The sequence below is a fragment of the Homo sapiens genome, chromosome 11, assembly GCF_000001405.40.
Source record: "Homo sapiens chromosome 11, GRCh38.p14 Primary Assembly".
In the NCBI taxonomy this organism is placed as follows: domain Eukaryota; kingdom Metazoa; phylum Chordata; class Mammalia; order Primates; family Hominidae; genus Homo; species Homo sapiens.
Window position 1 is genome coordinate 692,674 of NC_000011.10, and position 13,521 is coordinate 706,194.

A 13,521-nucleotide genomic window follows, 5' to 3' on the forward strand; every position below is an offset into this window, starting at 1 on the left:
GAAACCCCATCTCTACTAAAAATACAAAATTAGCCGGGCGTGGTGGCACATGCCTGTAATCCCAGCTACTCGGGAGGCTGAGGCAGGAGAATCACTTGAACCCGGGAGGCGGGAGGTTGCGGTGAGCTGAGATCACACCATTGCACTCCAGCCTGGGCAACAAGAGCGAAACTCCGTCTCAAAAAAAAAAAAAGGCATGTTTGCTGTCTGTCTCCACGACCAGACCACACCAGGTGCACGGTTCCCTCATCCTCGCCTCTCAGCACCACAAGCCCCGGCATGCGGCGCGCGGCCACAGTGAGTGCTCAACGCCAGGCCCATGGCAGCCCTGGGAGCAGCCGCCCAAAGCCTCCTCAGGCGGCAGCGTGTCCTGCTGAGTTACTTAAACCTGGAAACCACTTGACGTCAGCTGTTCGTAATTTTTAAAAAGTATTAAAGTGCTTTTACCACATCAAAACACAACTACCATATTTTTCAGAAGAAAACACACGTCAGCACATTTCTCTGACATCATGATGAACAGCATCATTTTTCTTTTATGCATTCAGAAAAATACGTGCAAAAATGACAAAAACCTGAAATCAACCTCATGGCTCCAAATCCCAACGTCAAACCAGAGTTTAGCGACGGACGCCAACCCCTGAGAGTCACAAAGCCTTCCCTCACTTTTTTTTCTTAACCAACCAAACAAGCAGCAGTGACCCCTTTGCCTTCGAGGGCCACTCAGCTGACCAAGGGCAGCCCAGACGCTGCTGGCCCCCACCCAGCCCCCAGGCCGAACAAGCACCCAGAGCACACGCAATGCCCTGACATACCCAGCACACCAGGACTGGGATCCAGTTCCTCAACCCGCAAAGCTCCGTAGGGGAAAAGTGCCTCACAACGCAACAAGAAGCTCCTCCCAAGGGTCTCAACACTGAGCTGTGAGTCCCTGGGGGACACTCGGGAACTCCAATGGGGAAGAATACAGTGCGTTAGGAAGCCAGTGGGTGGGGAAGTCTATGCCCCACGGACACAAGGGCGGGACACAGGAGGTGGGTGGACGGCACCAGCCCCGTAGGGCATCTGTGAGCTCTGCCACGGGCTCCCAGTGTTTTGGAGCCTGAGAAGGAGACTGACCTGTGTGGCAAGAAACTATAAGCAGCTTATATAAAAATGTGGACTGGAAAGCCACAGCAGCCTCCCCAAAGGAAGCCCGACAGGAAGCGGGGCAGGAGGAGCAGGTCCTTAGGGAAAAAGGCAAGAGGAAGAGGGAGGACTGGGAGGGGAGCCTGCACAGGTGGCTCCGCAGCCCCCCTGGGCCACCACACAGCCACGCTGACCTCTGGCATCATGGCCTCCAGCAGGCTGCCCACCCCTGGCTCCCCAGCGCTCAGGTCATGCCTGAACTGGCCCTCAGGAAGTGGGGGGTTCCTGGTGACCACAGGTGCCCACCCACCCCAGGGCTTCTCCAGGACAGGTGGGGGGAGCCAGGATGGACGAAGGCAGGGCAGGGGCAGAGCTGCACAGGGGGGACCAGTAGGAGGCGGGGCTGCCACAAAGAAAAGGGGGGCAGGGGGCAGGTGTGTGCAGGGCAGGGCCAGGTCAGGTGAGGCTAGGCAGGTCACCAGGGGCAGGTGTGCGGGGCAGGTGTTTGGGGTAGGTGGGGCAGGCTGGTCACCTGGGGCAGGTATGTGGGGCAGGTGTGCGGGGCAGGTAGGGCAGGCCGATCACGTGGGGCAGGTGGGGAAGGCTGGAAACGTCGAGCAGGTGTGCGAGGCAGGTATTTGTGGCAGGTGGGGCAGGCTGGTCACCTGGAGCAGGTACGTGGGGAAAGTGTGAGGGGCGGGTGGGGCAGGTGTGAGAGGCAGATGTGAGGGGTGAGCTAGTCACGTGGGGCAGGTGTGCAGGGCGGGTGGGGCGGGCGGGTCACGTGGAGCAGGTGTGAGGGGCAGGTGTGCAGGGCGGGTGGAGCGGGCTGGTCACGTGGAGCAGGTGTGAGGGACAGGTGTGGCGGGCTGGTCACCTGGGACAGTTGTGCGGGGCAGGCGCGCGGGGTAGGCGCGCGGGAACCGGACGAGGCGAGAGGCCGGCGGGCGCACTTGCCTGCGAAGGCTGCGGCAGCGGCGGCCTCGTCGGGGCCGGGCAGGGCCTCGGCGCCCATGTCCATGTGCCCGGGCTCCGCCGCCATCACCGCCACTGCCGTGACCCGCGGCGTCTCCCGCTCCGCCTCCGAGTCTGCGTCCTCCTCCGAGTCCTCGTCCCTGCTCAGCACCGGCTCCTCCGCCTCGCCTCCTGCCGCGGCCGCGGCCGCCGCCGCCACAGCGGCCGCGGCCGCCACCGCCGCCGCCTCAGCCAGGCCCAGCTGCTTTGCCGCCGAGTCCGAGTCCTCCATCCGGACTCCGCCGAGCCTTCCCGAAGGCGCCGTCCGGGACCGCCCGAAGCGCCGGTCGCGGAGCCCGAAGCGGGGCCCGAAGAGGACGCCCGAGCTGGGCCGAGGCCGCCCGAAGCCGCCGCCCGAATAGGGACCGAAAAGGCAGCCAGCCGCCGAGCAGAGCCGAGCCGAGTCCGCCCGCGGAGCGGAGCCGAGGCGAACAGAGGCTGCCCGAGTAGGAGCCGAACCTGCACGAAGCCGCCGAGCCGAGACCGAGTCCTGAACCGAGGAGGGTCGAAGTTCCCCGAAGTGGGAAGCCGAATCAGTCCGAATAGGTCCGAGTCCTCACGAGGGCTTCCGAGAGACTCGGCCCCTGCTCTCCTCACTGTCCTGACAGGCTGAGGCGGCTGTCGTCCCCGGCCGACAGGGCTGGACGGCTCTAGGCAGATTCTCGCCGGCGGCCGGCGCAATTCTGCCTCTCAGAGAGAGCTTAGTGCCGCGGGTTTCGCCCGTTCCCGCCGCCGGCGGAAGCCGAGTCAGCCCGAGGCCGAGCCGAGACGAGCCGAATGTCCCCGAGGCCGAATGCTCCCGAACGTCGGTTCTCCACCTCTTCCCTTCCGAAAGTGCCCGAGCGGTGCCGGACGGACTAATCGGGCCTCGGCCGTGGCTCGGACGTCCGCTCCCGAAACGCGGCGCGGTCGGGCCCCTTCGTCAGGAGACGCGAAAATGGCCGAAGGAGCGCGAGCGCGCGGGCCGAGAGGCTGCCGGGATCGCGACGGACCGGCGGGCGGGGCGGGTAAGATGGCGGCCCCGCGGCGAGGTGAGCTCGGGCGGGGTGGGGGCTTCCGGGCTTGCAGCGGCGGGCGCGGCGTTTCCCTGTGGTGACAATCCGGTTTCCGCTTTCGGTGCGCTCACGGGGCCGTGCCACCGTCTCTACGTGAGCGAGACAGCTCCGTCACCCCATCGAGAAGCGCGGCCTGGCCTGGCCTGGGTGGCGGGCGTCCTGCACCCCGAAGAGCTCCCCCGCGCGCGGGCGCCTGGCCCCGGGCAGGGTGGGTGCGGAGCGGCTCTGGGGGCCCCAGTCCCCGGCAGCTCTTGTCCCGCGCGTGGTTTTTGTGAAGACACGTGGGCGGGATGGGCGCAGGGTTTCGGTAGCCTTGGAACTCTCGCCAAAGAAAATCGCGGGCGCCGGTGCCTCAGCCGTCCTGCCTGAGAGACTCGCCTCCGAGAGGAGGAAGGGACAGACCAAAGCAGTAAATCGGCCATCCTGCAGAGGAGCCGCCTTCTGCTGTCTGTGGGTACAGCCAGAACTCCCATACGCGGGCGCTGAAGTGCCAAACCTTCGTGCGTGTTCTCTAGTAATTAGGTGCATTGTTTTGAAGGAATAAAGAATGGCTACTCCATAGGCAGGACAGCCTCTAGTAACCAGGTTTGTTTTGTGTATTTTCATTTGGTTAAAAATTAAGTTTAGGTTGGGCGCAGTGGCTCAGGCCTGTAAGCCTGACAGTTTGGGAAGCCGAGGCTGCAGGATCATTTGAGGCCAGCCTGGGCAACATAGCAAGACCCCCTCTATAAAAAAAAAACTGTAAACATCAGCCAGGCGGTGGCGCACCCCTGTGGGCCAAGCTATTCTGGAGGCTGAGGCTGGCGGATCACTTGAGCCCAGGAGGTCGAGGTTGCAGTGAGCCGTGATGGCGCCACTGCACTCCAGCCTGGGCGACAGAGCGAGACCCCCTTCTACAAAAAAAAAATTAAAAATTACCCCGGGGAAGGCCAGGCGCAGTAGCTCACGCCTGTAATCCCAGCACTTTGGGAGGCCAAAGCGGGCGGATCACCTGAGGTCGAGGGTTCAAGACCAGCCTGACCAACATGGAGAAACCCCGTCTCTACTAAAAATACAAAATTAGCCTGGCGTGATGGTGCATGCCTGTAATCCCAGCTACTTGAGAGTCTGAGGCAGGAGAATTGCTCGAACCCGGTGGTGGTGGTGGGGGGGGTGGGGTGCGGAGGTTGCAGTTGGCCAAGATCGCACCATTGCACTGCAGCCTGGGCAACAAGAGCGAAATTCTGTCTCAAAAAAAAAAAAAATTACCTCAGGGAGCCTGTGGTCCCAGCTACGTGGGAGGCTGAGGCTGGCGGATCACTGGAGCCCAGGAGGTTGAGACTGCAGTGAGCTGTGATCAGGCCACTGCACTCCAGCCTGGGCAACAGAGCAAAACCCTGTCTCTAAAAAAACTAAGTGTATACCAAAACAAGATTTCTTAACACATCTTGTCCATTACATCAGGGAAAACACTTGTTCTCTTTCACTTCCATGTTTAACTTCTGCCTGACACAGCTATTCGTAGCCACATTGTGATTATAGTAAGTCACTGACAAAAAATGTTGTCCTGAAAGCCAAGGCTACGTTCGGTCAGAATGAGCTCCTGCAGGTCTGGAATTGTTAGAACAGCGTATCTGGTTATAGCCGCCCTTCATATTAATTATTAAAATGTTACATCACTTAAGGCTTTTATACAGTTTTTCCCCCAAGCCCCATAACTTCAATCTATAACAGTGAGCAACTAGCAGACACATTGGAAGTGTTTAAGAAGCCAGCCTTTAAGAAAAGGAACAGAAGGGACAAAAACCCCAATTAATGCGAAATCATCACAGATAATGACAGGTATTTAGGTGGCCTGGTTTAGCTAAGGCCTGGAAAAGAACAGATCGGGTTTAAAGAGTGGCCTGCCGGGAACGCGATGCGGCGTGGTCTGCCGTGCACTTGGCTTCCTGCTTCCATCCTGTGGTGCCTCTTCCAGGAGCCCAGTTCTGAGTCTCTGATGCCGATGTCCTGTATTTACTGGCTTAAAACTCTTGCCTGTGTGAGATTCCACAAACTCTGGCACAGAAGGCCCCAGATCTGCCCAAGAAGCTGTGGGATCAGCCACAAAATCTCACCAACGCCAGGTTTCTGTCCTGCCCTCCCTGGCGCTGAAGGGGAAATAGAACAGAGGCTGTGTTCAGGTTGCTGTCCTGCCTGCCGCCCAGCGGTGCAGCTTGAGCCTCCTTTTATGAGAGGTTTCCACCCAATTCTAGATGTGTATTGAGGTATCTACACATGGAGGGACGTGCACATATCACACGTGCAACTGGCCTGAGCCCTTTTCAGACAATTAGTCCGCTCCAGGTCAGCGTGGATCCAGGGTGAGTCAGAGGCGTCTTCAGATGCAAAACCTCAGAATCAAAAAGGAGGAAAGAGACTCCACTCACTCCTCGGGCTTCCTGTCATCTCTCAGGTGGGGGTGGGAGAAGGCCCAAGAGGTTGCATGATAAAAAGACTGGACAGCTGCATTGCTGGTTTGGAAAATCCTTATTTTTGGAGGGATATTTGGGGATAAAATTTCAGAGGAAAGCAAATGTCTCATCAATCATGAAAAAAGATTTGTTACAACCTAAGTCAGAAAAGGTTTTCATCTAGTCATATATGTGTGGCAAATACGGAGAAGCCACAGACGGTGAGCCACAGACAATGAGAGCAGCTGTTGGGGTGGGCTCCAGGGTGCTGCTTTCCCTGAGGGCCAGCTGGGTCTGGCCCAGGTTCACTTCCCACCCCGGTGCCCCCGGTACTCGCTGTCTCCAGCCTCAGGTTCTGAAAGGCAGAGACTCCTAGCCTCATTGAAGGATGGTTAGAGAGGCACGGGAGCTATCTAGTGGCAGGCCCACGGTATATGTTTGCTGCTTTCTACAAATACGAGATCAAAGGAAAATAAAGCAGGGGTGGTTCCTGTCAGTGTGGAGCGAGACCCGGGAAAGCATCCTGGTGGCTGTCAGGCCTTGCTCACGGCCCCTTTCTCTTTCAGGGAGAGGATCCTCCACAGTGGTATCCTGCTGCGTGCCCCTCCAGGACAGCACCCAGAGGCCCGAATTGCTGCTGCACAGAGAGCACTCGGCCTCACCCCACGTTTTCCCTAAGTTCTGTCTAGTAATTCCACTTTGGAGAGGGGGGTGTTCCTTGACAGATTTAGAGAGTTGATGTAACTTCCTCGGATCAGTTCTGCTGGCTCCATCCCCTACCTGCTCAGCCCTGCACAAAGTGGCTAAGCACGCCACACTGCCGGCTCCCAAGGCGATGGCCACCTGCCTCTGTCTCGGCCGCTAGTGGCAGGAAGATGGAAATCCCTCACTTTGTCCCTAGATTCATTTTATTTTATTTTTGTTTGTTTATGTTTTTTTAAGGACAGAGCCTTCCTCTCACCCAGGCTGGAGTGTGGCAATCACAGCTCACTGCAGCCTCAGCCTCCTGAAGCTCTGGCATCAGGCGGGAGCCACTGTGCCTGGCCCCATAGACTCATGTTAGCATAAACAAATAGGAAATGTACACAGCTCAGGAAATGGCTACTAGATACTTAAGTCCCCCAAACAGAAATATATTTCCTCTGAAGAAACTGAAAAAAGTGGCCGGGCGCAGTGGCTCATGCCTGTAATCCCAACACTCTGGGAGGCTGAGGTGGACAGATCACTTGACACCAGGAGTTTCAGACCAGCCTGGCCAACATGGTGAAACCCTGTCCCTACTAAAAATACAAAAAATTAGCTGGGCATGGTTTTGCACGCCTGTAATCCCAGCTACTCAGGAGGCTGAGGCAGAAGAATCACTTGAACCCAGGAGGCGGAGGTTGCAGTGAGCCAAGATTGTGCCACTGCACAGTGTCCAGTCTGGGCAACAGAGCAAGACTCTATCTCAAAAAAAAAAAGAAAATGACAAAGTTATTTTTTCTCTCTTAACTCATAACTGGGGCCAAAGGCAGGGTGACATCACTGGGGATGCCAGTGTGTGGAGGCTGTCCCCTGACCAGTCCTGTCCACAGTCAGGAGGGCAGGGGCTGCAGTGCACAGACCGCATTGTTGTGGCATGGAGGGGGGTCCCACAAAGGCCTTGTCAGCTCATGGGACCACATTGGCAGCCAGCATAGTGACAGAAGCCTCAGATAGGCAGTGAGCCATTGCCAAGACTCCATGGTCCCTTGGTGTCTGTGGCCACCAAACAGATGACAGAACCAGCCCCTCTTGTTCAGCCACCTGGGAGGCTGCTCCCAAGCCTGTTGAGCTTGAGGATCCTTAACCACTCACCAGCTCTCTTCAGTTCCCCTTCAAATGCTGTTTTATCTCAGCGGAACGTACTACGCCCTGTATTTCCTCGCCACGCTCCTGATGATCACGTATAAAAGTAAGTCAGGGACGGGCACAGTGGCTCACGCCTGTAATCCCAACATTTTGGGAGGCTGAGGTGGGCGGATCACTTGAGGTCAGGAGTTTGAGACCAGCCAGGCCAACATGGGGAAACCCCATCTCTACTAAAAACACAAAAAGTAGCCGGGCGTGGTGGTGGGCGCCTGTAGTCCCAGCTACTCGGGAGACTGAGGTGGGAGGATTGCTTGAACCCGGGAGGTGGAGGTTCCAGTGAGCCAAGATTGCGCCACTGAACTCCATCCTGGGTGACAGAGCAAGACCCTGTCTCAAAAAAAAAAAAAAGGAAAAGGCAAGCTGAGGTGGCTGCTGCTGCTGTGCCAGGTTACTTATGTTCCGTCCGCGCCTCTGCTCTTCAGGTCAGGTGTTCAGCTATCCTCACCGCTACCTGGTCCTCGATCTTGCTCTGCTGTTTCTGATGGGGATTCTAGAAGCAGTTCGGTTATACCTGGGTGAGTGGACTGTTAACACCGTGAAGAACCTGTCCTAAGAGTTGCTATCTGTTTCCACAGCCTTTCAAGAGTAATTATTTTATAGTGTGGTTCTCAGAGACATTTTTTATCCAAACTGCTTACCCAGTTGCTTTGCAGGCTCACCTTACAGTGTCATTAAGTATTAATCAAGAAGTTTTGTCCCAGAGACAAATAACACTGGGGGCATCGTTGGGAGAGACTCTGTGTTTGGAAGCATGTCTTGTAGAAGCCACTGGGTAATGGCACTGAGATCAGAAAAGCCCAGCCCACCACCACATCTGGAGCTCCGGAATATTCACCAGCACCCCTTTCCTTCCCCTTGCCCTTAGCTGTCTGAGGAGAGAGCCCTGGAGAGTTCTGCCAGGTCCCAAAAGGCAGCAGAGTCTGGAGGGGTGGGAGCCCCCAGCCTCCCCACTCCAGCTCTAGGGATCCCCAAGTCTGCAACCCCTTCCAGTGACCTACTTTTTTTGAGACGAGGTCTCACTCTGTTGCCCAGGCTGGAGTGCAGTGGTGCAGTCACAGCTCACTGCAGCCTTGACCTCCTGGGCTTGAGCGATCCTCCTGCCTCAGCCCTCCCCTCCTCCCAAGTAGCTGGGATTACAGGCACCTGCCACCACGCCCAGCTAATTTTGTTTTGTTTTGTTTTGTTTTTTTTTGGTAGAGACGAGACAAGGTTTCTTTTTTTTTTTTTTTTTTTTTTGAGACAGAGTCTCGCTCTGTCGCCCAGGCTGGAGTGCAGTGGCGTGAACTTGGCTCACTGCAAGCTCCGCCTCCCGGGTTCACGCCAGTCTCCTGTCTCAGCCTCCCGAGTAACTGGGACTACAGGTGCCCGCCACCACGCCCGGCTCATTTTTGTATTTTTAGTAGAGATGGGGTTTCACCATGTTAGCCAGGATGGTTTCCATCTCCTGACCTCCTGATCCGCCCACCTCGGCCTCCCAAAGTGCTGGGATTACAGGCGTGAGCCACCGCGCCCGGCCGGAGACAGGGTTTCGCTATGTTACCCTGGTTGGTCTTGAACTCTTGGGCTCAAGCAATCTGCCCACCTTGGCCTCCCAAAGTGCCTGGCCTCACTCCCCTTTTTTTAACCACACAATTTGTTCAAGGGTATGTTCTTGTACAAGATTCAAGGGGTGCAGAAGTAAAACATGGAAATTCGCCCTCCCCAGAGCTCACCTCTGTGGCCAGCGGGGTGCAGACTTCCAGCCCTCTGCGTGCTCATGGTCGTAACATGTGCACCTAAACACACGTGTTTGTGAAACATTGTCCTGCCGTGGGGAACGCAATGGGCACTTCCAGGGCGCTGTGCCCCTGCCAGGCTGGAATCTTGGGCCCCTCTTGTTCACATACAGATACACCCCTGATGCCTGATGTCCAGTGAGGAACCAAGGCTGCGGGGAAGGGTGGCCCCCACCCTTCCTCTTGTTATCAGGCCTCAGACACACTAGGAGGATGGAGGCGAGTTCTCTCAGCTGCCCATCCCACTGAGGGGTGCCCGGCCGTCAGTGTCTTGTCTGCACTTACGTCCCAGAACCTCTAGAGCTTGCCCCCCAGGGCGGGCACTGCTGGGAGGGTGCGAGCACCGCTGCGGCACAGAGGCCCGGTTCTTGGCTGATCTTCTGGGGCCTGGGCCTGCCCTGAGGTGGTGGGGACAGGGTGTGGCCTGGCCCTGCTGGGGGCTGCTAGGCCAACGGGACCCTCCCCAAGCGCGCCGCACACTGCAGGGTCTCCAGGCACCTGGGCTCAGCTAGTGACTGACCCATTTGTTTGCTAAATACGCAGTTTTGTTTTTAATACATACTCGTGAAATTTTCCAGAACTGGCCTTGGACCAGAGAAAAATACTTTGGGAATTTTTCAAAAAAATCCCTTCAGTTCCACTTGGAATTAGGAAAACGTGGCAGATGCACTTGAATCATTTTAGAAACCAAATTCACCCCCGCCCACACAGCCGACCCAGAAGACCCAGAGACAGATCAAACCATGCTGTTGCAGGGGCACCTCCCCCAGGAGGGGCTCACGCCTGTGTTGCCCATGCTCTCTGGCTCTCCTGAGTTCTGGGTGGCCATGGAGGCTGTTTCCCTGGAATTCCCCAGGCCCCGGAGGAACGTAGGGCAAGGAGCTGCTCTGGTCCCAGCAGCCCTCCAGGCACCTGTGGGCGGTGGGCTCCAGGGAGCGCCTCGCACCACCTTCCCTCCCCTTTGCTCTGTTCTCCAGGCACCAGGGGCAACCTGACAGAGGCTGAGAGGCCGCTGGCCGCCAGCCTGGCCCTCACGGCTGGCACCGCCCTCCTCTCTGCCCACTTCCTGCTTTGGCAGGCCCTAGTGTTGTGGGCGGACTGGGCCCTCAGCGCCACGCTCCTGGCCCTTCACGGCCTGGAGGCCGTCCTGCAGGTGGTTGCCATCGCGGCCTTCACCAGGTAGCTACGGACACCCGGGATACCCCACACTGGGGCCCTCCTCCTGGGCCTGACCAGTCCCCCAGCTGTCACCTCCCCATTCCTGGACAGGAAGGGCACTTTTCCTAGTGACTGGCCATAGATGGTTTTGGATGGTTCCATCTGTTCTGGCAGGAGTGGGAGCAGGAGCCAGGGCAGAACAAACTGCTGGAGGCCCTGGTGTTGGGAACAGCTGCGGGGAGGGTAGGGACCAGACAGAACTGCCTTCAAGATGAGTCCCAGGAGCGCACACTCAGCCCTGTCAGTGGGGTCTGGCTTTAGCAGCCAGGCCTCCACAGACCCCCATGGGCCCCCAGGGCCGAGAGGGAGGACAGAGCCCTTCAGAACAGAGGCCTCATCTCACTGCATCCCCCATCACCCCCTAGTTCCCCAATGGTCCTAATTTGTGTTCTGAGATCCCAGTTTACTCCGTGGCCAGGCCCCACCTGTGTTTCCAAGTCGGGCTGGAGACGCAGGATGGGGTAGGCCTTGTGCTCTGAGCAACCCCAGCTCTGCCTCACAGGCAGGCAGGCCCGGTGCAAGAGTGGACTCTGGGTTCCTAAAGCAATAAATGCAAACAAGCCAACAGCTCTGCTGCCTAGCAATTTCCATCTTAGCCACACTTCTCCCTTCAGGGGCTTCGGAGGAGAGGTCAGGGCTAAGGCCGGGGATGAGACTGCAGGAGAGAGAGCAGCGGAGGGCCACATTCGGAGCCTCCGTCCACTCCAGTTTTATCAGCTTTTGCCTTTTGCACGGAGTGCTAAACAAATTCTAGCTCTGTGTTTTTTTCCCATTCCCAGATTTACTATCAGTTCTCCTTAAAAAGTATCTAAGCTGTTACAGTAGCTTTCCCTTCACTTGATTCTATTGTGTGTTTTCTATGTTTGGAATAATTACACCCAAATATCTAGATATTTTCTCTTCACCGCATTTTGTAAATAAAGAGATGTGTATGCCTCCCTGAATTCTCCTAATTATGGCCACCTCCCCCACCCCATCTCCAGTTCTCCTGCCCTGCAAGAGAGCACACCCCACTTGCCAGCTGGTCAGTTCCTGGCTGGCCTCGCCCTCGGGCCCTGGCTGCCGGGCGCCTTCCGCTCGGTGGACTCCTGAGGGCAGGAGGCTGCGGGACTGTCCTGGGCCTCCACTGGGGCTCCCTCGGCTGGGGTGGCTGTGGCTGTGGCACCTGGACAGTCTTTCCTGCCTGTCTTCGTGGAAGCGGTGGGAGCACCCAGTTGTCCTGGGCCGACTTCCTTTGACCTGTCTGTGGCCCCCAGTGGCCACGGTGAGCTGCAGGACAGCCCTGAGGACCCACTTCACACACCAGCGCCTGAGCGCCTCGGGCCACCTCCCTCACCAGCGCCTGCACTCGCAGAAGACCAGCTGGGCACACCTGCCATCTGGAGGACCCAGCCCACAAACCATGCAGACCAGGGAAGGACCCCCTCCCTGAAGCTGGAGACCTGTTGCCTTCATGGTTAATGGATCCTGATACCTCCAGTCTCAGCGAGCACACAAAGGCAGTGGTCACCTGTTCCACAGGGAACGCCATGGCTCCAGGTGACCCGGAGTGGATGGGGCCCGAGAGGCCAGCCTGGACTGTCTCCTGAGGGCAGGCTCCGCACTCAAAATCGTGTTGACAGGCACCCGTTTAGGAGTGGAGAGGGACCCCACCCCCCAGCTGTCCTCTCCAGCGCCTGTTTCCCACTTGGCCACTCCCAGCTCTGCCTCCAGGAAGGGTGAGGGCACGGGTGCACCGAGGGGTTGGCGTGTGTGACCCTGAGCTCTGGGTCAGGGCAAGCTCATGCATGGAGCAGGATCACGGCAGGTTCCTGGAGATCAAACGGCAAAGGCTGTAAACCAGGAAGCCAGGTCTTGCCTGGGCTCAGGGGCAGGCACTGGGCCCGAAGGAGGAGGGCCACTTCCTGCCAGCCCTCCACCGAGCTCACCTATGGCGCCTCCCCAGGAAGTGCTCCGGCCAGCCCAGGGTAAACACGCTAGCCCTGCCCCTCTGGGACCATAGCCCGGGGACCCAGACTCTTGGCCACGCTCATTCCCACCCCTACCCAGGACCGGCAGCCGGAGCCTTGGGTCCCTGCATGGGCCTGGGGCGCCCTGTGCCCCTTCACCTCGTCCTCGTCCAGTTGACTGCTGTGGCAGCCGGTGCTACCCGCTGTGTCCACTGCACCCTGGCCCTGTTCTGAGCGGTCACAGCAGCTGGGGAGAAGGGCCATCCTGGAAGCCGGGCAGATGAGGACGGAACCAGACAGTCCCACTGTGGTGGGCAGAGGTGGGGCCTGGGCCTGACCACGGGGCAGTGCAAGGAGAGAGGCATCCTGAGAGGGCCTGAGGTGTCCCCACCTCCCCTGACACCCCATCCCTCAGTGCCCAGGCTGGGCAGAAAGGGGGGCCTGGAGGAGCAGCTGCACTGTGAACTCAGGGCTCCAGGCCTGGGGTGGGCATGGCTGGGTCCTGCCTGACACCCACCCACTCACCGAAGCCTCTGCCCCTGGGCCTGCGGTGGGCCCGGTAAGGGAAGTGACTCTGCCCCATGCCTGGGGCACCTGAGGGGTGCACCTGGCCCGGCGGAGGCTCTGACCTCCCCAGGGCTGGAGCCCTCCCCAGCAATGCGCCAGCGCTGCCCCCGAAGTCCCATTGGCAGCGTTCCCCCGTCCCCCGGCCTGCTGGGGCGCAGCTAGGCCCTGCCCAAGGAAGAGCTCGAGGCCTCGCCCTGCTCATCCCGCGGAGGCGGCCCTGCGCCCCGCCTGTCCCCAGCGCCCCAGCTCTAGGGGCTAGGCCCGCGGAGGGGCACACCAGGCGGGTGTTGGGGAGGACGCAGAGGGCTGGGGCTGGAGCCCAGGCGGGGCAGGGGGCGGGGCGGAGCTGGGTCCGAGGCCGGCGGGGGCGCCTCCATCCCACGCCCTCCTCCCCCGCGCGCCCGCCCGCTCTCGGGTGACTCCGCAACCTGTCGCTCAGGTTCCTCCTCTCCCGGCCCCGCCCCGGCCCGGCCCCGCCGAGCGTCCCACCCGC

At 58.9% G+C, this 13,521-nt stretch overlaps 2 protein-coding genes across 20 annotated transcripts in view, besides 11 other annotated features; one reads left to right on the top strand and one right to left on the bottom strand.

Annotated features, from left to right (window-relative positions):
• Positions 1–13,521, bottom strand: part of DEAF1 (DEAF1 transcription factor) — a 62,851-nt gene that overhangs the window by 48,441 nt on the left and 889 nt on the right. For 9 of the 14 annotated variants that reach the window (XR_007062436.1, NM_001440885.1, NM_001293634.2 and 6 more), the window contains exon 1: positions 2,086–2,549. The exons of 2 other annotated variants lie outside the window; for them this stretch is intronic. Coding sequence is in view for 7 of the 12 variants with exons in the window: in NM_001293634.2 (NP_001280563.1) it covers positions 2,086–2,374 (289 nt within the window). In the remaining 5 variants the exon portion in view is untranslated. Of the gene's footprint in view, positions 1–815; positions 2,550–13,521 lie in introns of those variants that run through there. 3 more of the 14 variants (NM_001440887.1, NM_001440886.1, XM_047426250.1) reach the window with 3 other exon arrangements.
• Positions 1,921–2,170: a silencer, noted in NCBI's record as "silent region_3011". NCBI's record gives its function as "represses an Ori minimal core promoter by ATAC-STARR-seq in GM12878 lymphoblastoid cells {active_cell/tissue: GM12878}" and the evidence as "EXISTENCE:reporter gene assay evidence [ECO:0000049][PMID:35858748]".
• Positions 1,921–3,067: a biological region, named in NCBI's record as "hESC enhancers GRCh37_chr11:694659-695198 and GRCh37_chr11:695199-695740".
• Positions 1,986–2,525: an enhancer, noted in NCBI's record as "H3K27ac-H3K4me1 hESC enhancer chr11:694659-695198 (GRCh37/hg19 assembly coordinates)". NCBI's record gives its function as "activates a minimal SCP1, AML or CMV promoter by ChIP-STARR-seq in naive H9 embryonic stem cells {active_cell/tissue: H9 hESC(naive)}" and the evidence as "EXISTENCE:reporter gene assay evidence [ECO:0000049][PMID:30033119]".
• Positions 2,191–2,310: a silencer, noted in NCBI's record as "silent region_3012". NCBI's record gives its function as "represses an Ori minimal core promoter by ATAC-STARR-seq in GM12878 lymphoblastoid cells {active_cell/tissue: GM12878}" and the evidence as "EXISTENCE:reporter gene assay evidence [ECO:0000049][PMID:35858748]".
• Positions 2,321–2,620: a silencer, noted in NCBI's record as "silent region_3013". NCBI's record gives its function as "represses an Ori minimal core promoter by ATAC-STARR-seq in GM12878 lymphoblastoid cells {active_cell/tissue: GM12878}" and the evidence as "EXISTENCE:reporter gene assay evidence [ECO:0000049][PMID:35858748]".
• Positions 2,526–3,067: an enhancer, noted in NCBI's record as "H3K27ac hESC enhancer chr11:695199-695740 (GRCh37/hg19 assembly coordinates)". NCBI's record gives its function as "activates a minimal SCP1, AML or CMV promoter by ChIP-STARR-seq in primed H9 embryonic stem cells {active_cell/tissue: H9 hESC(primed)}" and the evidence as "EXISTENCE:reporter gene assay evidence [ECO:0000049][PMID:30033119]".
• Positions 2,966–12,355, top strand: TMEM80 (transmembrane protein 80). Of its 6 annotated transcripts, none has more exons than NM_001384408.1 (6): positions 2,966–3,149; positions 6,196–6,215; positions 7,469–7,562; positions 7,942–8,034; positions 10,272–10,473; positions 11,127–11,456. In NM_001384408.1, exons 1-6 carry the CDS (start codon positions 3,080–3,082, stop codon positions 11,311–11,313), a joined length of 666 nt encoding a protein of 221 aa, NP_001371337.1. In that variant the 5' UTR covers positions 2,966–3,079; the 3' UTR covers positions 11,314–11,456. The 6 variants fall into 6 exon arrangements, with proteins under 6 accessions (NP_001371337.1, NP_777600.4, NP_001263203.2 ...); NM_001276274.2 differs by lacking the exon at positions 11,127–11,456 and adding an exon at positions 11,769–12,355 and having other exon boundaries at positions 3,143–3,173; XM_006718206.4 differs by having other exon boundaries at positions 3,143–3,173.
• Positions 3,068–3,607: an enhancer, noted in NCBI's record as "H3K27ac-H3K4me1 hESC enhancer chr11:695741-696280 (GRCh37/hg19 assembly coordinates)". NCBI's record gives its function as "activates a minimal SCP1, AML or CMV promoter by ChIP-STARR-seq in primed H9 embryonic stem cells {active_cell/tissue: H9 hESC(primed)}" and the evidence as "EXISTENCE:reporter gene assay evidence [ECO:0000049][PMID:30033119]".
• Positions 3,121–3,540: a silencer, noted in NCBI's record as "silent region_3014". NCBI's record gives its function as "represses an Ori minimal core promoter by ATAC-STARR-seq in GM12878 lymphoblastoid cells {active_cell/tissue: GM12878}" and the evidence as "EXISTENCE:reporter gene assay evidence [ECO:0000049][PMID:35858748]".
• Positions 4,148–4,687: an enhancer, noted in NCBI's record as "H3K4me1 hESC enhancer chr11:696821-697360 (GRCh37/hg19 assembly coordinates)". NCBI's record gives its function as "activates a minimal SCP1, AML or CMV promoter by ChIP-STARR-seq in naive H9 embryonic stem cells {active_cell/tissue: H9 hESC(naive)}" and the evidence as "EXISTENCE:reporter gene assay evidence [ECO:0000049][PMID:30033119]".
• Positions 11,471–12,398: an enhancer, noted in NCBI's record as "H3K27ac-H3K4me1 hESC enhancer chr11:704144-705071 (GRCh37/hg19 assembly coordinates)". NCBI's record gives its function as "activates a minimal SCP1, AML or CMV promoter by ChIP-STARR-seq in naive H9 embryonic stem cells {active_cell/tissue: H9 hESC(naive)}" and the evidence as "EXISTENCE:reporter gene assay evidence [ECO:0000049][PMID:30033119]".
• Positions 13,375–13,504: a silencer, noted in NCBI's record as "silent region_3015". NCBI's record gives its function as "represses an Ori minimal core promoter by ATAC-STARR-seq in GM12878 lymphoblastoid cells {active_cell/tissue: GM12878}" and the evidence as "EXISTENCE:reporter gene assay evidence [ECO:0000049][PMID:35858748]".

What these genes read in the sequence shown, in the direction of transcription:
- TMEM80 (NM_001384408.1), top strand. Translation starts at nt 3,080, where the DNA reads ATGGCCGAAGGAGCGCGAGCGCGCGGGCCGAGAGGCTGCCGGGATCGC. An exon ending in CCTGATGATCACGTATAAAA is followed by an intron (nt 7,563 to 7,941) that starts GTAAGTCAGGGA and finishes TCTGCTCTTCAG; the next exon opens with GTCAGGTGTTCAGCTATCCT. An exon ending in AGCAGTTCGGTTATACCTGG is followed by an intron (nt 8,035 to 10,271) that starts GTGAGTGGACTG and finishes TCTGTTCTCCAG; the next exon opens with GCACCAGGGGCAACCTGACA.